This window comes from Homo sapiens, chromosome 13 (assembly GCF_000001405.40).
Source record: "Homo sapiens chromosome 13, GRCh38.p14 Primary Assembly".
NCBI classification, from domain to species: Eukaryota; Metazoa; Chordata; class Mammalia; order Primates; family Hominidae; genus Homo; species Homo sapiens.
The window spans coordinates 22,027,474-22,051,140 of NC_000013.11; the positions used below are offsets into that span (position 1 = coordinate 22,027,474).

Genomic DNA, 23,667 nt, shown 5'->3' on the forward strand with positions numbered 1-23,667 from the left:
GTCTCTCCAGATTCACACTCATGGCTTGCCCAACGTGCTCCAAATAAGAAAGTCAATCAAGACGGGGAATGATGTGGTTGACACTGACGTGACGAAAATCCTGAGGTGGCCCCACCGTTTCAGGAGCACTATTTCAAAGAGGGACTCCTAAAATTCTTCTGACCCCTCACTTTTTCTCTGAGGTGATGAAATTTCCCTTTTGCTGGGAATGGCGTAGATTGAGATGACATCGTCTCCACGGTTCCCGGCTGCAGTGCTCTGGGAATTCCTTACTGTTGACATCAGATGACCGGCATTTTCTTATTTTATTGGTCACCGTGTGGGTTGGGTTATGTGAAGATTGGCATGTCAGGGTCACCATGAGAGGCAGCTGAGAGTCTTTAGAAATAGTGATTGTGACCTAATGTGAGAATTTAACAGAAGAGGATGAAAATTTAACTGTTATTTTATAGGCACAGAGGGCCCAGGGGATCAAGCCACAGAGAATTTCTGATGCTGTGCCAAAGTCACTATGCCATATGGATTTCCTCTACACAGGGCATTTATTCCATACCTTCACTTGGTTTCCAGAGGAAGAAAAATATTACTCCTCTGAACATAGAGAAAGCACATAACTAAAGTTAGAGAATGATGAGTTCTTAGAAAAAAAAAAGAGGAAGTCAGAGTAAGTAGCCTTTAATATAAAGTTTATATTTTCTGATTAATTCCATTAGCCTCCTTGGTTTGAGCTTACCAAGAAAACATCATTTCCAAAATGAGGGAGCCACTTCCCTCCCGAGTAGGAAGGTGTGCCTGCCTGCATCCAGCCTGGGGAACCACGTCTTGCCCACCCTGATTGCTCTGCTCTTCCAATTAGATGCCAAGAGAGTTTTTATTCCCAGTCCAAAACTGGGAGAGAGCTTTCCTCCTCAGCTGTGAGGCAGCCACCTTTCACATTAGGGTGATTGCCCTAGAACCTCTCACTGCACGCATAATTGCTAATCTTAATTGGTGAAACATCTTATGTAGTTATGTTGTTTAGGATGCTTGGAAATGGTGGCAGCTCTGTTGCCCCCCAAATCCTTATTAGTCGCCTCTTAAGTGACGGCAGACCAGTCCTGGATGGAGCAATGACCGTGAACCCTGAGTAGGGCTGGTGGCCTCTTTGTGTTTGCCAAGCACTTAAGTCCCCTCTCCCCATTCCGTCTTTCCTCGTCCCTCAGCCTGTTTTCTATCTCAGCCTTATTCCTATTGTTTAACAGCCACAAGAGAGTTGGAGTGAAAGTCTTTGGGAATCAAGAAAACTTCAGAAGATCCAGAAAGGAGTGATAAGAAGTCCTAGCTAGAAGAGAATTCTGTTCTGACTTTCTTCCATGTTAATTAGTTCTCATTTTGAACGTTTGGGAGGAATGTGGGTAGACAGGCTCTGGGACCCCAGGACCATTGCTTTGCGGGAGGGAGGGTGTGGTGCGGGAGCCCCTAAGACTCCTGTGCTGCAGCCGAGAAACGATGCTCAGTACTAGAGAGAACCCTGATATATCTGTTTTCCAGGGGGAACCATCTGAGTTCTCCACCCAGGTGGGTTTCCTGGGAGGAACGGGCTTCAGAGGAGTCCTGTCAATGTGAGGAGGGAACACTGTCAGGGAAGCGGGTGGTACTTGGAGGTTTGGATCAGGCTGAAGCCAAAGCTTGGGTATGGGAGCAGATTGGTCAGATGAAAGGGCAAGTGAGTCAAATGTTCTGCAAGGAACAGAGGAGGCAAGGAGACCAATGTACTTTGGACTGTGTGGCAAAGGAGCTAAAAGGAGGAGAAGAAAATCTAGACGTAGATCTACGGTGTAATGGAAAGCCAACTACAATACGTCAAGGAAGGGGTGGCATTTTCAGAATGACGAAAGCCACTTGATTTTATAGTGATTTTGAAACAAGGAAAGTTTTAAATTAAAGAATATGTCAATCTCCAGAGCCATTTGATTTTCTTTTTGGCAGCTTATTCAGAGTTGGTCTGACCAAATATTATAGCAGCTTCTCTTTTTTGCGCCAGGGCATGATTAAATGACTTCTTAAGATGGGTTTTAGCTGTGTAAGTTGCCAACCTATCTCAGGTGAGTTTATTAAACCCTTGCTGCACTGGACTTTCCTCCGTTCATCCCCAGCAGGGCACTTGTGGGCAACTGTGATCACAGGATAGCTGTCATCGGTCAGGGGACTGTGGCTATCTGCTGTAAAAATGGCATAGGTTCTTGTGCCTCTGATAAGAACTCACAGAAGAAATAAGAACTTGGCACTGGAGTAGCTCACAATTTGATATTTTTGGTTTAAGGAACTTTTTGGCAGACTTTTTGAGATCTGTGTACCTGAGTAGTTCACCTTCCTAAGACAATTTGAAAATTTCTCCTTTGATTCTGCCACCCAAGATGTACTCAGCTTTTCCATTAGAACCAGCCAGGGAAGTCTGCTTCCCAGCTCCTTCTGGAAATTCACATCCACAGGGGCTCCCCTGCAGGTCTGTGTTGCTGCGGGCCAGCTGGTGTCTGAGCAGGTAGGGGAGGTCACACTGAAAACTGGAGTCTGCTTGAAACCCCGTGGCCGCAGTCACATGCAGTCATTAAGTCAATTCCTGCTAGGTGTAGGTCGGTGCGTAGGATGCAAAGATGTATACAACATGCTCCCTGTCCTTGATTTCTTTACGACCTCTTTGGAAAGTCAGGCCATTGATACTGAGAAGGGCAGCCAGACCAAGCAGTTATGCTGTATACCTCACGAGTGGTACCAACCAAAGCAGCTATTTAGTGTTTCAGAGGAGAGAGCAGGCATTGTGGCTGAAACGCTTAGAGAAAGACACATGGAAGAGACAGGACGGGACCTGGTTTTAAAGAACAGGCTCTACTGGAACAAGTAGAGAAGGGAGAGGGAGATGCTCCCTGTCAGGGCTGGGATGGAAATGTGGCCCACTGTGTGGGTCTCGGATAAAAAGTCAAGTGCCATGAGGAAGGAGGGAATGGTCCTTGAGACCCTGGGAATCCATGGCTCCTTCTAAGACCAAACCATGTTGGGGAATCTGCAGGGCTGCAGTTGCGAGCTGGGCTGTTTGTCCTGGAGTCTGTGAGCCCTGGGGAGCCCGTGAAGGATCTTGGGCAGGTGAGTGATTTGAGCACGGTGCGGTCCGGACAATTTGGAGTCAGGATGCCAGGAGGTTGCTGTCTAGGAGAGCTGCTAAAAGACATGTAGGGCTATAATTTCAATATCAGCCACAGTGTCACAGCCTGACTGGTCACTGGGAACTTGATAATCACAGAGTCTCTCAAGCCATTCCTGGTAAACATTTGGGATTTTCAGGTCTGAGCTCCTTCCTCCCAGTTTCTGCTCTTTCCCCTACAACTCCCTTCTAACCTTTCCCTGCCCTGGATATTAACTTCCCTGTGGGCTCCTCAGCAGCCGGCTGGGATCTGAGTTTTCTCTTTTCAGGCCTGGGAGGTCTAGAGGCTGTGCTGGTCAGTAATTTCTGGAGCTCTAACATCTTTTTCTTCTTTTGAACTCACTATAAACCAGAAGTTAAAAAGACATTTAAAAGTTTACCAAGGTGAATAATGTGATAGAAATGTGAGTACTAGTGGCAATTGGGAAAAAGAAACAAGCTTGCTGATTATAAATGATTTTATCCTTCACATTGAGCAATTTATTTTATGCTATGTATTCTTATAAAATGACCAGATTTATTACTATGTGTACTCATTTTAAAATTTTAATTTTTAAATAAAATATTTTTTTGGCTTCCATTATATTTACTTTTATAATAAGGCTCCATTTATGGCAGGAGGTTCTGTTTTCCATTTTTTGTAATGATAGAAAGTTTCCTTTTGAAATATTAATTTAAACCAAAAATTCGTCAATTTAGAATAAATTGTTAAGTAACAGTACACGATACATGGCATATGGGTTTGCCAAAATTGTGACACACTTATAGGACTGAAGTTTATAAAACGACACCCTAGAGAAAGTAGACTATGCTGTCCCCGACATCTGCTACTGAAGAGGATGAAAACTGACTTGGCTTCCATTCCACCAATAAGACTATACCAAGATCCAAGAAGATGATGGATAAGGATCTGATACCTCTCATTGGAACCATGTGTCTCATCATCTGTACACTCTGTAAGAAACTTCAGGATAGGGACCAGATCTTATTGAGTTTGTGTCTAATATGCAATCCTCTAACATGAGGCCTGCACATACTAAGTACTAAATACATTTTTGCTAGAGTAATGAATCCGTAGATTTGCATTGCAGTAAGAGCACCTCTAGACAGTTTAATTTTGTGTTTGTTTATTCTGGAACTATCAGGCTATAATTAAATAAATGTTGCCAATGAGTCTAGCTTGTCACAAGTTTCAAAAGAATAAGACAACACAGGTGCATTCAGCTGATTGGTGGGATTTGGATTCCCACAGGCTAGCTTGCTGCAGCAGGTGTGAGGAACTGTGAATAAAGGGCACAATTAGAGCTACCTCGAGGATTGAGCCTGGCCAATTCCTACATATCTAACATTTTCTTTCTTCTTGTAGAAGAAAAAGATTCTTGGAAAAGAGACATAGCTGGTTCTTAGTAACTACTGGGAAAAACATCACAGGGAGCCCTGGATGAAAGCCATTATTTCCAATGGAAATACTGACTCGTAGCACCATGGCCTATTGTAAAATCTAGTGAAACGTGCATAAAAATCTTGCATCTGGTTTGAGATTTATCTTTGCTACCAACTCTGTCTGCATTTTTTGACTGTATTCGGGGGTGGCTGTTCATGCAGGAATGAGGGGCTACCTTAAGGGAGACTCAAAGGAAACAATATGTGGAAGAAACGTAGAGAATGAGTTGCTTTTGCTATCACAATGGTGTATGAAAAAAATTCTTTACTAAACAATTGACAAAGTATAAGGTAAATATGAGCTTATTGCAGTGACTTTCAGGGACTTTTTATTGGACAACAGTGCCTTGCCCTTCTCACAGTGAAATTCATTAAATTGGGCTTTGGTATCACTTGCGTGACTTGTAAATAAACAATACTTTAAGAAACAGCTTTGCAAAGCCCATGGCATTTGGGGTTGCAACTCTATTTAAGGCATGGTTTACTATTTCTCAGTATCTTCTATGTGAAGGCCCACTTACTTTAAAGTAAATGCTGGGAACTGCTTTGTTCTTTTTGAGATACTGATTCAGTTTTGCTCTATTGAAAAATTCTTTCACAATTATGTTCTCTACATTTGCTCACAGCCCAAGTCACCATCAGTGTAGGAGATTACGGTCTGCATATAAGCAGTTTACTGTTCCACCTGGTATTGCCACTCTATTCTAATTGAATTCCCTAGTCCTGATTTTTTATTTTCAATTGTTATTTTACCACTTTATGGTGTATATTTCTAGTTCACTGCTATTTACAATTTGTGGAATGAGGAAAGACATCTGAGGTGCTTGTGTGTAGCATCCAAATGCAAGAGCATCTCCTTGTTCTTCAGATGAAAATCAGAGTCAGTTATGAAAATGGATGTAGTTCTCTGATTCGAATAATGGTTGAGGACATGTATAAACGGCTTGGCTCAGTTGCAAGGCTGATAAGAGTGTGTTTGGAATAACCAGTCTCAATGCCAAGAAAAATGCCACATAATCTCAGCTTCATCTAGCAAGTGAACTTGGTGTTGGTGTGGGGTGATCTAGCATTGGTTGGGAATGTCAGGTTTGGAAATACTTCCTGGTGGTATCAGCTTTGGAAATAGACGCTAGACGAGGCTACGTAGCTCATCAGCTATTCCCTGAAAGCAGAAAATCCAGGGGTTCAGAATTCAGGGCCTCCCGGTAGAGACAGCATTGTGAATATTCAGTAATACTCTCCCCATTGTCAAAAAGCCTTGCATCTTTTCTTCCCTTCCTCCTTTCTCTCTTTATACTCATCCTTCTCCTCTTTTTCTTCCTCCTCTTTCTTCTAATATATGTTGAATTTCTTTATTTCATACCTCAAATACTCATTTCCTGCCTTCCTTTTCTATAGCTGCTGTAGCGGTTCCCATAAACCCAAGAGCTCAACACAACCTTTATTTCATCGCACCTGCCATGGTTGACACTTAAACATCAGCTCTACAATTTACATACACCATAATGTACCCATTTTATTGTACGATTAGATGAATTTTGACCCGTGTGTACACCCATGTAACCATCATCATAATCAAGATTTGGAGCTTTTCCTTCATTTTCCTTGTGCCCCTTTGCCTTCATGTCCCTCCCACCCCGCCGCCCCTGCTCCTGGAAAGTGACTATCCTGCTTTCTGTGACTGCAGATCCATTTTGACAGTTAAAGAATTCCATGTAAATGGAATTGCATCGTGCCTACTCCTTTGTTTCTGGCTTATTTTGCTGAGCACTGTGTTTCTGGGGCTCGTCCATCTCGCGGTGTGCATCAGAAGTTCTTTTCTTGATACCGCCAAGTAGTCCATTGTGTGGATACACTAGAGTTGGTCCATTCACCTGTTTTGGACATATGGATTGTTTCCTGTTTGGGGCTAATGTGAATAAAGCTGTTAGGAACATTTGTGCACAAGTCTTTGTATAGGAAAATGTTGTACTTTTTTGGAGAAAATACTCAGGAGTAGAATTATTTCACTTTAAGAGATTGGAAAACTATTTTCCGAAGTTGCTATACCACTCACCTTCCCACCAGCAAGGTATGGTATTTCCAGTTGGTTCATATCCTCACCAATACTTGGAATTAGTATTTTTTAAAGTTTGGACATTCTAGTGGATGTGTTGCAGTATTTCATGATTTAGTTTACATATCCCTGATGATTAATGAAGTTGAAAAGTTTTTGATAAGCTTATTGCTCACTGTGTAAGTCTTCTTTTGTGAGCATGTGGTAGGACCTCTGCTCATTCTGAAAACTGAATTGTCTTTGTCTTATTAAGTTAAAAATTCTTTCCCTTATATTTTGGATACAAGCTTTTGAGTTTGCATCATTTGTTGAACAGACTCTCCTTTATCAACTGAATTTCACTGACACTGAAAATCAAATTCCTATATATATGTGGGTTGTTTCTTGACTCTCTATCTTGCTCATTGTTGAATGTGTCTATTTTTAGATCACTACCACTCTTTCCATATATACAAAATCCATATATATGTGTGATGTATGTATATGCGTAATTCCTCTTTGTTCTTCTTCACAATTGTTTTGGCTCATCTTGGATTTTTGTACTTCCAAGATCCTGCTAGGATCCTGTCTGTGATGACTTGATTTTATGTGTCATTTTGGGGTGAACGGACATCTTGACTCTAGTATGCACTTCTGCTGAGGTGTCAATCACAGTGGGGAGTGTGATACAGGTGAGTGAATGTGCCAGTGGTGACAACTGGAGCCAACTGATGGGCCATTGTGCATCTCCCAGATACTTGGAAGACTAAGTAAAAGCAGAGGTGCATACTAGAATAAAATGGCAGAAAAAAAGGCTGTTTTTTTTAAATTAGCATTTAAAAATTCATACTAGTGATGTAATTAGTAGTCATCAAACTACTAAACTGATTTTCTAATTATATGTACATTTAAAATGTAGATTATTGTTGGATTTTTAAGTGACATAAATGTATGCCTTAGATGTGTGGTTGACAGACTCTAGGTCTGAGCCCTCATGTACTCGGTGTGTATCACTGCCAACAAGCCATTAATTCCAGGCTTTAGGATCCTTGTGCTGGGACTGGTGGGCCCTACGGGTGGGAGGAAATCAGAAGTGTAGCAGTGGGTCCCTGCCACCTGGTCAAATAGGACCAGACACTTGGCTGGTGACTTGGCAGAAATATGATGGAATGTGATCATTTTTGATGAGCTAAAATGCTAAACCTGTACTTGAGGAGATCTACTGTATAATTTATGAGTAGCACTGTGTCTTTCCTCTGTCCTACTTTTCTGAAGCAATGCATTTTCTTTGATTCATTTACTATTTAGGTCTCAGTTGATGGGCCACAATATAAGGTCTTTATTCTTGATGATTTTTTACTCTTCCTTTCTCACATGCAGGTGCCACTCCACCTGCCTGCTTTATTTCCACATCAGAAAATGATCAGGATCCACCAGCCTTCTTCACTCTGATTTCCCAGCATTGGTGGAGGATTTTTCTAATTCTTCAGTGTCTGGAATGTGTAAGCTTCAGTTTGTATTTGACTTCCACCAGCTTCCTTCCCACCCAGTATTTTTCAGTGATTCATCAATTATTTATTAAGTACCCACTATATTAGATATTTGTTTTCTTTTGTAGTGCCCTGTGCTTACCTCTTTTGCTGCATCTATCACATTAAATTATGTCTTTCCCACTACTTTAGGCCCCGAGGGCAAGAGCAACGCTGGGTGTACCGTTGTATTATGGTACTTTGCAAATTCATGACACTTACTATGTACTCAATACATTTTTTTTCCTTTCTCTGAACTTAGTAGTCACACTAAACCTTTTTTGTAAATTTACGTTCTTCTGACATTATTTATTTAGTTGGTTACTTTTTTCCAGTATAAAAAATTTTAACCATGCAGAAAAGTACAGATAAATAATATAACACCTCAGTATTAATAAACACAAGGCATCTTCCGACAAACTTTGTTTAGTCTGAATACTCTTATTGAAAAAATAACTAAAAATTAGTCTGAAGTGTTTTGCTATTTTTCCTATAGAATTTTTCTTATATTTTATAATTCCTACCATTTCAGTAAGAGAAAATCTTATATAGTTGAAGGCCTTGTGTATTCTTCCCTAATCCCATATCTCCTCCTCACCCTCCCAAAGAAATAACCATCTGAACTTGTTCTTATTTTCAAGTGGGTTTTTAGGCTTCTTGTCCCTGTGTTTTTAAATGATACCTAGGATTGTTTTATCTTTTTGTAAATGATGTGTTATTCTGTATACTTCTGCAACTTGATTTTCTCAACTGATGTGATGTTTTTTGAAATTAGTCCATGTTGATAGATGTTGCTCTAGCTAGGTCATTTATTTTAATTGCAGAATGGCATTCCATTGTGTGAACAAACCCACCATGTATTAATCAGGGCTTCTGGTGACCAGCATTTAGATGGTCTCCACTACGTCTGTGCTTACAAACAATGTGGCAATTAACATTCTTGTACATGCCCCATGTGCACATATAAAGTGCAATTACTCGGTCAAAAGAGTATACGCATCTTCAATTCTATTACTTACTGCAAAAGTGTTGTTTTTAAAAAAATCAGATCTGATAATGTTTGTCTTTTGAGTGGCAAGTCCATTTGTATTTATTAAATTCCTCCTGTATTTGGTTTCATCTCTGCCATCTTATATTGCACTTTCTATTTAGCCTGCTTTTTCTGTTTCCCCATCCTTTTTTTTTTTCTGCTTCTGTCATTTTTATCATCACCTCTGCCCTCTTTCTATTTGTTTGGAGATTATATAAACACTATATTCTATTCTTCTAGTAGTTAAACTTTATAAATTTAAGAAGTGCCCTTGAAATAGTAAAGTTTAAGCTTAGCCAATTGCTTTGTTATCTTACTAAATAATGAAGGATGGTACAACACATTAACTCTTATGAACCATTTCTGGCTTTCATATCATTTTCCCCTCAATACTTTAATTCTCTGCTTGATTTTTTTGACTCTATACCAAATGTTGATAAACTAGATTTAATCACAAGTTTGACAACTTTTTTCTCACCAATTCTTCTTAAATATTAGTGCTACCTGGCCGGGCGTGGTGGCTCATGCCTGTAATATGAGCACTTTGGGAGGCCAAGGCAGGTGGATCACAGGGCCAGGAGTTTGAGAACAGCCTGGCCAACATGGTGAAACCCCATTTCTACTAAAGATACAAAAAAAAAATTAGCTGGGGGTGGTGGCGCACACCTGCAATCCCAGCTACTTGGGAGGCTGAGGCAGGAGAATTGCTTGAACCTGGGGGGTGGAGGTTGCGGTGAGCTGAGATCACGACATTGTACTCCAGCCTGGGCAACAGAGTGAGATTCCATCTCAAAAAAAAAAAAAAAATTGGTGCATCCTTCTGGTTTCACCTTTGTCATAAATACCTTCTCAAGTAGGTCTTTCTGTGGAGGTCAGCTAGTGAACTGGTTTTGGTTTTTGTCAAAGACTGTCTCATTTAGCCTTTATTCTTGAATACTTGCTTAACTGGGTATAGAATTCTAGGTTTTAGTTACTTTTCCGAGACGTCAAAGACACTTTTTCTGTCTTTTCCTTCTTCTGTTTTAAGGTTGGCTGTCAGCATGCTTGTATTTATTTGTGAATAGTCTGCTTTCTCTTTTATTACTTTTAAGATCATTGTCTTTGATGCCCTATATGTGCATTATGACAGGTCTAGGGGTGCCTTTATTTATCCTACTTTGGATCTTCCTTGATTCCTCAAACCGAGGATTTATGATTTTCTTCAATTCTGGAAACACTTTAGTCATATGTATTCTCTTTGAATTTTGCCATTCTTGTTCTGATCTCTACTTTGGGAAGTCTTATAAGCAAACGTTAGACTTCATGCTTCCAACCAACCTTGTGTCTCTTTCAGGTCGTTCTTATTAAATATTGACAGATGCAAAAAGATAAACATAGTAAGATATCAAGAATAGATGCAATGCACACCCAGGCCCCAGCAGTATCCTTGCAAGTCCTCCTGAGCCTGTCTCCATCCTGCCCCCCTGCCAGGTAACTGCTGCCCTGCAATGTGTGGAAAGCATCCTCATACTTTTCTTTTTAGTATTACCGCAAATGTTTGTAACCCTAAACAGAGTATTGCTTAGTTTTTCAAGGTTTTGAATGTCTTGTAGATGGAATCATACTCTAGGTATTTTATGGCTTGCTTTTAATGCTTGACATTAACTGTTATCCATAATGTTAATTACTTAACTGTACTTTTTTGGTATATTTTCTAAATGGTAATCATTTCATAGATAAATTTGTGTTGTTTCTTTGTCTCCAATCCTCTTACTTTTTGTTTCTTTTTCTTTTTCCACTGACTGGGAAATCCAGTAAAATAGAAGTAGCAATAACCAATTTTTCTGCCTTGTCCCTCATTTTAAATGGTACATGTGCAATGTTTCTCCATTATCTGTGATGTATTCCGTAGGTTTATAAAAAGCATGTAGACTTTGTCAGTGTATCCTTTCTACTTCTAGTTTGCTGTGTGGCTTTAAAAATTGTGTATAAAGATGTTGTATTTTATCAAATGCTATTTAAAAAATCTATCAATTGATTCTATGAAATTTCTTTAATCTGTTAATAATTGGTAAATTATCTGAATTGATTTTCTGATGTTAAAAACAACATTTGCCTCCTGGAATAACTAAATTTAGCCATGAATTATTTTGACATAAATTATTTTAAGGCACGTTTCTTAATTTCCAAACAAATGCACTATACCTAGTTATCTTTTCTGTTATTGATTTTTACCCTAATTTCATTGTGGTCAGAGAAAATGGTCTAGATAATACCAACCCTCTGAAAGTTATTGAGATTTGCTTTTTGGCCCAGTGTGTGGTCAGAATTGGAAAGAACCCATGAGTGCCTGAGAGGAGAACGTATTCTCTTCTTGTTGGATCATGCTTGTTAATTATGATGCCCAAGTCTATATACACTTACTGGTGGTTTTGTTTTTGTTTTTTGATTGCTTGATCTATTACTTTCTGGAGAGAAATGTGTTAAAATTTCTGTATATGATGGTAGATTTGTTTTATTCTTTTTATATTGGTTAATTTTATGCTTAGTATATTTTGATGTTAAGTTTTAAGATTCATGCAAGGTTGATGCTATTATATATTTCTGATGACTTATTTTTCATTGTATGTGACTCTTTATCTCTAGTAATGCTTTTACCTTAAAGTGCTATTATATATTTCTGATGACTTATTTTTCATTGTATGCGACTCTTTATCTCTAGTAATGCTTTTACCTTAAAGTCTGATAGAGCTGAAGTTTGAAAAAAAAAAAAAATCCCATCTGGTAATCTTTATCTTTTTTTTTTTTTTTTTTTTTTTGAGATGGAGTCTCGCTGTGTCGCCCAGGCTGGAGTGCAGTGGTGTGATCTCGGCTCACTGCAACCCCTGCCTCCCAGGTTCAAGCAATTCTCTTGTCTCAGCCTCCTGAGTAGCTGGGACTACAGGCGCCTGCCACCACACCCAGCTAATTTTTGTATTTTTAGTAGAGACTGGGTTTCACCATGTTAGTTAGGCTGGTCTCGAATCCCTGAGTTCGTGATCCACACCCCTTAGCCTCCCAAAGTGCTGGGATTACAGGCGTGAGCCACCGCGCCCGGCCATCTTTATCTTTTAACTGAGTAGTTTTTCTATTTGTATTTTGTAACTACCGATATGTTGGGGTTTAAATTACCATCTTATGTTTTTTATTAGTCTTGACTTTTGCACTTAATTTTCCTTTTATCGTTGTCTTCTTTGGATGGATTGGGCATTTTGTTCCATTTCATTTCTCCCTTTACTCAACAAGAAACCATATCTTCAATTTGTATTGCATAATATCTTAAAGAGTTAATGTTACTCAATAGTTTTGTCCTCCTCATGAATAGTAAAAGAATCACAGAAAATAACCTCAAACACCCTCTGAGATTATATGCTTTGAGGCTAAGAAAGGCCAAAGGAAAGAAGGGAAGAAAGGAAGGAAAGAAGAAAGAAAGAGGAAAGAAAGAAGGAAAGAGGAAAGAAAGAAAAATAATCTTTTTTTAAAGCACAAAGCTTTTAAGCTTTACTTACCACTTTCTTTGCTCAACACTTTTTTTTTTTTCCATCTGGGATTACTTTTATTCTGCCCTTAAAATTTCCTTCAGTGAGTACCCATTGATAGCAAACTCTCAGATTTTGTTTTTCTGAAAATACTTTGCCCCATTCTTAAAAGATATTTTTACTGAGTATGCAATTCTAAGTTGACAATCATATTCTTTTTTTTTTTTTTTTCAGAGATGGAGTTTCACTCTTATGCCCAGGCTGGAGTGAGTGGTGCGATCTCGGCTCACTGCAACCTTTCCGGCTCACTGCAACCTCTGTCCCCCAGGTTCAAGCGATTCTCCTGCTTCAGCCTCCCAAGTAGTTGGGATTACAGGCGCCCGCCACCACGCCTGGCTAATTTTTGTATTTTTACTAGAGACAGAGTTTTGCCATGTTGGCCAGGCTGGTGTCGAACTCCTGACCTGAAGTCATCCACCCACCTCGGCCTCCCAAAGTGCTAGGATTACAGGCATGAGCCACTGTGCCTGGCCGACAAATTCTTTGAGCACTTTTGATACGTAAGGAAAGTGCTGTGAGGGAAAGAGCCTGGTCCCTTTAAATGATATGGGAGGGGGGGAAGGGAAGTGCTGGGTAGAGTAGGGCGTGGTCCCTAGCTAGGGCTCTACCCCCATGGACCTAGGTGAGGACAGGCAATTCAGGCATTTCCTGCATTTCCCAAGACCGCCCTGGCCTGCCACGCCCCTATAATGTGCCTTTAAAAGCCCAAGACCGTCGCTAGGCACAGACGGAAGTGACTGGATGTGGAGAGGAGTGTATCCGCGAAGGAACGCACAAGTGGCCTGACCTGCAGAAGAACGCTAGCTAGGCACTAGGCATGCCGGCAAGGTCAGCTGAGAGCTGACCCCAGTGCAACGTGGAGGAGTTTGGTTGGGGCAGTCGGAGGAGCACCTGGGCCGCCAAGCGGCCAGACTTCGGGGGAAAGCCATCTCTCTTCTGGCGCCTTTATCGGCAGAGAGCTACTTGTACTCAAAACCTTGCACTCATTCTCCAAGCCCACGTGGGTAAGATTCACCCACACTGCGGAGGGCGTCGGAGCTCCACAGCCTGCCTGTCTGTATGCTCCCATAGAGGTTTGAGCAGCGGGGCACTGGAGAAGCAAGTCACACCCCCATTGCACGCCATGGGAGTAGGACAAGGTAACTTTTCCTGTTTCACTGTGACAATACGATTCACACCCCTTTTTCCTCTTCGTTCTATAGTTACTGCTGAAAAGTCAAGATAGGGTTGTTCTATTGTAAATGATCTCTCTCTTTTTTCTGACTGCTTTTAGAAATGTTCATTTAATCATTGATATTTGGTGGTTTTCCTATGTGTTTAGCCATTTATTTTCTAGGATTCTTGGGCTCCTTGATCATAAGAATTAGGTCCTTTAACAGTTTTGGTTGGAAAATTCTCAGCTATTGTTTTTTCATATTTGCTTTCTCTTATTTTCGCCTTATGAATTCCAAGTAGATAGATGTTGGAACCTCTCATACCGTCTTTCATGTGTCTTAAACTCTTTTTACCATATTTATCTTTTGGTATCTGTGCTTATGTTAAAATGTATCCACAGGATTTTAATGTGTAGAGGTGACAGAGTGAGGACATGGAGCAGTCAGTGCCACTGGGAAGAAAAGTTTATTACTCAGTTTCCTAGAAGTGAGAGGCATTGCTTGCTATGCAGAAACACATGGGGCAGCCCCAGAGCTGGTCAGGAGGCAGGGTAGGAGTGAAAGAGAAGCACAGGCCATAGCCGTTTTTGGAGTTTCTGTGGGAAAGTCAAGGCAGGGCAGAGTAAACTTGGCTAGTTTGAGTAATTCTGGCAGGATTTGGGGCATAGCGGCTGTCTGTAATTGTCTGGTCATTGGCCACATTGATTTGGGGCAGGGAAAATATTGGCTTGGATTGTGAGAGTTAAAGCAGAAAGTTGGGGGTATGAAGTTGGGATTGGTTGGTTTGTAGATAAAAGATATGTTCACAGGTGACTTGTTGATTATCTCTAGTAATTAGCCCTGGAAGCTGCAGTCTCTCTGAAGCTGGCAGGCTCCCACTCTAAGATGTCAAAACATCATAAAATAAAAAAAACGAAATACTGTGCTCTTTTCTAGAAATTGTTTCATCTCTATTTTCTAGTTCACTAATTTTGTCTTCAGTGGAATCAAAGCCTCTATTAAATCCATTTATTGAGTTTCTAATTTTAATTAGATTATTTCCACAAGTTCTTTTTGTCTAATGAAAATTTTTTGCTTTTTGCTCATTTTTCCATTTCTTATTTTATTAAGAATCTTAAATATGACTTACATTTGTTTGTGTGTGGTAATTCTAATGATTAAAGCCACTGTGGATCTGATTCTGCTATTTGTTATTTCTGTTGGCACTTGCTCATACATACTTGCCTTGTTTTTCTTAAGTATTTTGTGATGTTTCACTGTGAGTTCATATTACTTGAAATTTAACTGGAAATTATTTGAAAATGAGATGACCGTATATTTTTCCAAAGAAAATTTGCATTTACTTTTGCTAGGTTTGTGGACACTACTGACCTAGAATTACCATCTACATTTTTAAATTTGAGGTCTTTTAACTCATTCAGTTAGGGCAACAAACTTGCATTATACTTAGCTTGTGATTACAAATTGTCAGGGAAAATACTTTTTTCTCTCCATTCGGTGCTATTTTGCTACAGATATTTTTTAGTATTTCTTAAGAGGGGTGCTGGCGGTGTGTGCAACATTTATGGTTGATTTATAATCTGGGAATTTAACTGATTAGAGTTCTGTTTTTATATAGGTGGTCTTGGATTAGATTCCACCTCTGTTGTGCCCTTCTAATTTTTCTTCTGGCCCCTAAACCCATAATGAAATTGTGTTTTGTAGTTGCATTAAGTTTAATTCAGCCACCAGGACTCATACTTCTCTGTATCTCTTCTATCGCTTCAAATTTTTTGGGCTTTCTTAAGCAGGCTTACATTTTTCCATCTCCAAATCAATTAAACGTTACATACTTTAAAATTATTTTATGCAGCATTTTTCTTTATGTTCAGTGGGAGATCCTATCAAAAATGGAAATTTCTCAGTTTTCTATATTTACTTTTCCAATATGTGTTTTGGAATGTCATTTAATCTTATTTTTTCAGTTAACTAAGTCATTTCTGCTGTGTCTAATCTACTGTATCAGACTTTCTTTGAATTTTTAATTTTAATGATTATATATTTAATTTTTAGAAGTTACTTTTGATTAATTTTCAAACCTCTGAGATTTATTTTATTGTATTTTAATCTTTATGTTTAAATTTTTTCTTTAATATTTAAAAATATACTCTTCTTTCAGCCTCTATCTGAATCTTCTGGTATCTGAAGTTTTGGGAGTCTAATCACATTCTCAGATGTCTGCTGATTACAGCAAATTATTTTTATACACCTTTGCTATTTCTGATTTCAAACTTATGTACAGAGGGAATGTGCCTGGATGCCTTCTGAAAGATTTTTTTTTTCCATTTGCTTCTGCCAAATCATTTAAGAATATCACTGAATCACAATTTATGTTAATTTCTTGGTCTGGAATTTCTTACCATGCAACTGTTATAAATTCCAACCTCAAAGTCAAATGAAGTGTGAGCCCATCATACAAATTCTCAAAGGACACTGTTTTTTTCCTGTACCAAGAGATGAGCATTCTTATTTTCTTTTTCTGATCATGCATGCATTTTTCTAGTCTGTTTTTTTGTTCCCTCCCTGAGAATTCTCCTTTATGAAGCATTTTCAGTTTCAATGTCTTGCCTCCCTTAGGTTCAAGAACTCTTCTGTACCCATGTGGGCATTAAATCTTCAGCCCCAACCTCCTTTATTAGCAAGAATGATAGCCCAACCATATCTGCTGCTGTGTCTATCAGCTCACGTGTCTATCTGTTTCTAGTGTCTACTTATTATTTGTTGCCTAAACATTGATCATGTTTTGTGATCTCACTATATATTTTAAAAGAATGTTGATTTTATCTAGCATTTCTGGGTGTTTTATAATGAAGACGTTTTGGGTTAGCTATCCATGTTACAAGCTATGGAAAGGCTTTGCTTACTATTTTAGTATAGAGTGCTTTCTGATTTTTGTGCCATCATTTGGTGGGGACCATACTAATCTTTATCCTTTCAGTTTTTGTGTTAATGCTAAGGAACTGGATTGTCCTTGTGAAATCTTGAATATTTCATAGAAATGCCTTTCTGTTATGGAAAACAACTGAGTAACAGTCTCTGAAAGTCCTTTGCTCACGACTGGCTGGTGTTGCTTTGTATTGTAGCTGGAATTTTTCAGAGACAGAATGAGGAACTTTAGGAGTATAATAATGGCCAAATGGAACTTCTGTGTAATATTGTGTTGATTTGAAACATGTATATTTCCATGTTTGGTGATTCTTAAGAAAACATGCCTTGGTTGTAAGGATATGATGCATAGGGATATTTCTGAATTTGATTTTATATCATTCAATATTTTCTGGTTTTAAATCCTATTTTTCAGATATGGTCAAAACCCATTCATTCATTACTCAGAATGAGTTTGCCTACTATAGAGATAATACAGGTTCTAGGAAACAGGCTTTTTCTACCCATGTAATGTAATATAATGTTCTTTGCTTCAACACTTATGAAAGTACCAAAAATTACTGTGAATGTTTTTTGTTTTTCTGTTTTTCTTTTTTTTTCTTTTGGGGGGACAGGATGGGGTTGGTGGGTGCTTGTGGAGTGAATTCTTGTCTTATCTCACTGACTCTCCTGACTGACTCTATCCTGAAGCTCTGCTTTCTTACCAAATCCTTGACATTACAATGGCCATGTGACCTTTGGTGTGGACAGTATGATAAAGCATCAAGATTCTCTTGAGACACTTTGGAGGATATCATGCTACATTGTACAGATAAGGTAGGAGAAGGAAACAGAACAAGAAATGACAGCGTTACTGGGAACAAGGGGAAAGAAGAGAGTCAGTTATCTGGTGTGTTCCTAAATAGGCGTGTGTGTCTTATATATATATATATATTATCAGCTTAACTTCAAGTACTAGACTTACTTATTGAATGACTGATTATTGGAGGAATCAGTGAAGATCAAGAATGATCATTCCATCAAAAGCAGGAGCTTGAGTGAAATGGCTGCAATAGAGACTTTGGAGGGAGGACACAGACCAGTAGGACTCCAGTGGAAGATTAGAATATGTGGAATAAGGTGAGATCATGGAGCCCTTGAATACCAGGCAGGTGAATGTAAACTTTATTCAGGAACCAATGGGGACCAATGAGTGGAGGAAGATGGGCTGAAATTGGAGGTTTACATGACATAGGTAAGAGATCCTGATTCTGGGAAGCTTGATAGGGAGATAAATGTGTGGGGTGATTTAGAATGAACGAGGGGACATCAGTAAAAAGGAGAAAAAAACAGGTATTTGCATTTTTAAGGGAGAATAAAAATACTAACAGTATGGTTAAGAAAAAGAATGAGCACAATTACTCACAATTTGGAATTGGATGTAAGGGGATTAACCCTTGGGAAAAGAAAAAAACACCGCAGGCCTTAGATGTTCAAAAACAAATTCTCAAATTAGCTTGCTCTTGTTCAAGGCATGATGATACTTGGGGAGTCACCCTGGTTCTTGCTTTGTGGAGGTCAGTCAAGAGCTAAGCAGAAAGCCCTCCTGATTATTTAAAAAAAATCAGTAGGCAGAGGCAGAGAAGCCAGGGAGGCCAGGATGTGGCAGAGGAGCCCAAGGCAGGTGTCATGCTGGGGAGCTTGGAAGCAGCCAGGGGTCCTGGTAGGAGCTGGCAGAGGTTTGTGTCCTAGTAATTTTGTTACCAAAAGGTGAAACTCAGCTTTGGTAACCAGCTTGTGATAAAGGAATTGCGTTTCATGTTACTCTAAGTCTTTTAGTAGTACAAATGACCCTTGAGCAATGCGTGTTTAAACTTTGCGGGTCACTTACTTACACATGTATTTTCATCTACCTCTGCCACCCCTGAGAGAGCAAGGCCTACCCCTCCTCCTCCCTGTCAGCCCACTCAACACCAAGATCACAAGGATGAAGATCTTCAGGATGATCCATTTCCACTCAATGCATAGAAAATATATTTTCTCTTCCTCATGATTTTCTTAACATTTTCTTTGCTCTAGCTTACTTTATTGTAAAAATACAACATATAATACATAAAACATGGAAAATATGTCTCCATCCACTGTTTATGTTACTAGTAAGGCTTCCGTTCAACAGTAGGCTATGAGTAATTACATTTTTGGAATCAAAAGTTATACGTGGATATTCAACTGTGTTGTGGGGTTGGTGCCTCTGTCTCCCAGGATGTTGAAGGACTGACGGTATACTAAAACATTAAGATAAAACAGCTCTCCCTTCTCTCCTCACTCACACCTGTGCTGGTGTTGCTGCTGCTTCTATGTGTGCTTTCTTCGCACTGTCTCTGATCTCCAAGCCAAGCCCCAGTCATCTGACCAGCCTCTCCAAGCCCCAGGCCTACTCAGCTTCAGTCTGCTTCTGCATCCTCCTCCCTCCCACTGTATTCGTTGTTACTGATTCCTCTGCACAGCTCTTCTGTCTCTATATTCTTCTCCCACACCCAAAATAAAGGGCTACCAAAGACCTGCCTCATACATCTCATGCCCGTCCCTGAACTTTCTTCTTTAGGGTTTTCCTTCTCCCCTTGGCTTCAGATGTCATGACCATGAAGGCAAATCTCAAATTTGGGTGTATGTGTATTCTTGACCTCTTAGTGAAGTTCCAGCGCCACCTCATTACAACTAGAAGGTGTTCCAGTTTGGCCATCTTAGCTGTTTTAGATTCATACTCGGCACATCGTATTTTCAGTCTATGCCTTCCAGAGAAACAGAACCAATACTATCAATGTATCTATCTATGAGAGAGAGAGAGAGGGAGACAGGGGCAGAGAGAAGGGGAGAGGATATTTATTTTAAAGAACTGGCTCATGTGATCACGGGGGGCTGCAAGTCTGAAATCCATAGGGCAGTTCAGCAGGCTGGAAGCTCCAATAAGAGCTGATGTTGCAATCTTGAACCTGCAATCTGTGGGGTTACAGGTAGGCTCTCCACTCAGGCATGATTTCTAGGTTGTAATTTTGAGGAAGAACTCTTTCTTGCCCTGGAAACCTCAGTCTTTACTCTTAAGATCTTCAGTTGATTAGATGAAGCCCACTCACATTATGAAGGGTCATCTGCTTTTCTCAAAGTTGACTTTAAGTACATTTATGGTATTTTTGTTTGTTTTTAAGAGGGTCTTGCTCTGTCACCCAGGCTGGAGTTCAGTGGCCTGATGACAGCTCACTGCAGCCTTGACCTCCTGAGCTCAAGTGATCCTCCCACCTCTTTCTCCTCAGTAGCTGGGATTACAGGAGTGAGTCACTGCTCCTGGCAATAGTATTTTGTAAATGTTAATCACATCTAAGAAATACCTTCACAGCAATATCTAAACTAGTGCTTGACCGAACAGTTGGGCAGTGTAGCCTAGCCAGGTTGACACACAAAATTAGCCATCACCTTCTGTGTTCAGACTTGCTTTTAATGGTATCAACCACAAATTCCAGAGATATTGTTGAGTTCTTCTACTCCCTGTCTTTGAAGTCAGCTAAGCCTGGGGATTGAGTCTCAGTTCCGCCATCACTATCTATTTGATCTTAGGTGACTTGTCTGATCTTGTCAAGATTTAGTTTTCTGCCACGCATGGTGGTTTGTGCCTGTAATCCCAGTACTTTGGGAGGCCAAGGCGGGTGGATCACTTGAGCCCAGGAGTTCGAGACCATCCTGGACAACACGAAAAACCGTGTCTCTACAAAAAATACAAAAATTAGCTGGGTATGGTGGTGCCTGCATGTAGTTACAGCTGTTCAGGAAGCTGAGGTGAGAGGATTACTTAAGTCCGGGAGTTCAAGGCTACAGTGAGCTGTGATTGTGCCATTGCACTCCAGCCTGGGTGACAGAGTGAGATCCTGTCTCAAAAAAAAGACTGAGTTTTCTTATAGGTAGGTTGAGAAAAAGAGCAGTACCTGTGCATCTCACAGACTTGAAATGGGGGGAGGCATACACATTCGTGAGCTCTAGAAGCTTGGCTCACGGCATGTTCTCCCTTGAGAATGGCGGCCGGGCCACCTTACTTAGCCATCACACCTGCATTACAGCATGGCCTCACCATGTCCATTTGGCAGATGAGGAATTGAAAGGTTAGAGTTTGCCAGTAGTAATAGAGATTGCAAACGCCAGTGCTGGAATTTGAGGTGAAAGTGTTCTGAAACCAAAGCCAGACATCCTTTTCACTGCACCAAACTGGGGGTGCTCCCAAGTGCTGGAGAAGCTGAGTAGGGTGCACCTGAGGTGTGGATGCACCTGTCTGCTCTCATCCACGCACCATCCCCACCAAGCCTGGAGCACATGGTGTATGTTTCCCTGGGTTGGGGGCCACTTAAAATCTAGCTCACCAAACTTCTCACCTCACTCAAATTGCCCCTCCCTTAATGCTTAGAAGAAACAGACAAATCACACAAAACATGATGGATAACATAAGTTTCTTTTATTAACAATCGAGGTAGACAGCCTTCCCAAACATCTGCCTTTGTTTTACTGTAAAATACAATTTTATTTGTACTGTATGAGTCTCAAGCAGCCCATGAAGACTCGCTTGCATTATGTTTGTTTTACTTTAGGAAAAATTAAGTCAGGAGAGAAATCCAGTATATAGTTTTAAAACTCGAATCCAATAAAGATGGAAAGAATGCCTTTCCTGGAAAACCGAGCTTTACTCTCATGTCTCCTACACTGTAAACTTCTCATATCCAGAGAGTGGAGTCCCACGTTGTCTGTTTGTCTTTAGTGCTGCACTTCTCTGTGGTTTTGCGATTTTTCTCTGGAAGTGTCTTGTTTTCCTCACTGCAGTGTGACCTTCCTGAAGGCAAAGGCTGGGACCCTTTCACCTTTGAAATTTCCATACTTAGGCAGGTGGTAGACACTCAAAAAATATTGAAAGAATATAAGGAAAAAGCAAGGCCAAGAAGGAGGGCATAAGGAAAAAAGACTGCCACAGGGGGCAGAAAATGGAAGCAAACCAACCCACTTACCCGGTTCCTAAGCATTAACGCTAATTGAGTTTTACTACATTTTCTTCAACCCTGTTGTGCCCATCAAATGGAGACACTCAATCACTAAGTCATATTCTTCCTGGAGGGTCACTTCTCTTTCCAGTAAGACATGAGCATGGCATGTTTAGGAGAGAGAGTGCCTCGACTTGCTTATTAATTGCAGCTTCTCTCCGGCTCATGGAGCTGGTTTGTGGTCTATCAAGCATGAAGAAATGGAGCTTGAAAGTTTGCCAGCAGACAACTTAGCTTTCTAAATAAAAGCTGAGGCCCTGAGAGCACTGAGGCCCATGAGTCTATTCACAGTGTGGGAGAGGGAAAGCTCTGCTATTTCCATATGCATAATATGAAAACAAGCTATATGACATTATCAACCTTTGCTTGCTTAGTAGTAAAAAGTACCTTGACTACAAGGATCCACCCTCCTCATCTATTGATCTAATCTAGAAGCATTGGCTATAATGATAGCTATATCCATGGATGGGTATCATGTTAATTGCTTTACTTCATTGAATCACTGGGAGAGTCCTGCAATATAGGTGGTGTTGTCATCTGCTTTTTAGTCATGAGGAGTCTTGAGACCAAGAGCACTTTCCTAACTTGCCCAGGACCTTACCTCATGGGGGAAGATCCAGACCTAGTATCCTTGGTGGTCTGGCTCCGAAGAACATGTCTGACCACCGAGCCACATACCCTATTTCTTTGTAAGGAGGAAGTATTTCAAACAAGAACACGTGAATTTCCCTAGAGACAGGAAAAAAGTCATGAAAATGATCTTCGGAGCTGGAGGTCATTATGCTTAGCAAACTAATGCAGGAACAGAAAACCGAATACCGCATATGCTCACTTAAAGTGGGAGCTAAATGATGAGAACACATAGATGTATAGAGGCGAACAGCAGACACTGGGGTCTACCTGGGGGTGGAGGCTGGGAGGAGGGAGAGGAGCAGAAAAAATAACTATTGGGTAGTAGGCTTAGTTAGTACCTAGGTGACAAAATCTGTACAACAAACCCCCGTGGCACAGTTGACCTATATAACAAATGTGCACATGTACCCTTGAACCTAAAATAAAAGCTTAAAATAAAAATGAAATGATCTTTGTGTATTTAGAGTACAATATGCATTTATTTGAGGAGAGCTTTTATATATATTTTTGTTAGCTTGTAAAAACTGAGCATGAACTTGATATCACCATCAGCCACTGAGATATAGACCGAGGCCTACTTACAGCGAGGGCATGTGTCTGAAGTGGTTGCCCTCTGAACTGTGGCTCTCCTGCTGGTGTTCTGGTGAGAGCTTCTTCTGGGTTCTCTCGAGGGAGGTTCCTCGTGTAGGTTATCCCTTGTGGTGACCGTTCCTAGAGTGTATCACTTGTTCTTCCACTTGTTGGGCCAGGTTTTAACTAACTGCTTTCACCTCTTTGTCAAAAGCTTCTGTCGCACACTCCAGAATCACAGATCTCAGGACGATGTGTCTGGTGCTTTCCTTCCCTGAAATTCAATAAAGAAATAAAGATTTCAAGAAACAATGTTTTTAGATATCTCAACCATTTCTCAGTGGGTGTGACTAATTCAGTTCAACTAGCATTTGTCGAGTGTCCATTCTATCAGTAATCACAGTGCCTGCATTTTTGTTCAAGCTTTCCTCATTTTAAAGCACTTTTGTAAACAGTATAGGCAAGGCTGTGTGTTGTGAAGATCAGGGATGAGAGGATGTGGCATGAAAGGGCCACCACAGGAAAGGGCTGGTTACCTCTTCTGGCTTGGAGGCTTTGT

At 40.3% G+C, this 23,667-nt stretch overlaps 1 long non-coding RNA gene across 1 annotated transcript in view, besides 2 other annotated features; it reads left to right on the forward strand.

The window, feature by feature from the left end:
- Positions 13,267–13,768: an enhancer, noted in NCBI's record as "H3K27ac hESC enhancer chr13:22614879-22615380 (GRCh37/hg19 assembly coordinates)". NCBI's record gives its function as "activates a minimal SCP1, AML or CMV promoter by ChIP-STARR-seq in naive H9 embryonic stem cells {active_cell/tissue: H9 hESC(naive)}" and the evidence as "EXISTENCE:reporter gene assay evidence [ECO:0000049][PMID:30033119]".
- The window catches only part of LOC105370108 (uncharacterized), a 114,586-nt gene continuing 104,416 nt past the window's right edge, over positions 13,498–23,667 (forward strand). Inside the window, exon 1 of the long non-coding RNA XR_007063716.1 lies at positions 13,498–13,911. This is a non-coding gene — a long non-coding RNA (uncharacterized LOC105370108). The remainder of the gene's footprint in view (positions 13,912–23,667) is intronic.
- Positions 13,769–14,268: an enhancer, noted in NCBI's record as "H3K27ac hESC enhancer chr13:22615381-22615880 (GRCh37/hg19 assembly coordinates)". NCBI's record gives its function as "activates a minimal SCP1, AML or CMV promoter by ChIP-STARR-seq in naive H9 embryonic stem cells {active_cell/tissue: H9 hESC(naive)}" and the evidence as "EXISTENCE:reporter gene assay evidence [ECO:0000049][PMID:30033119]".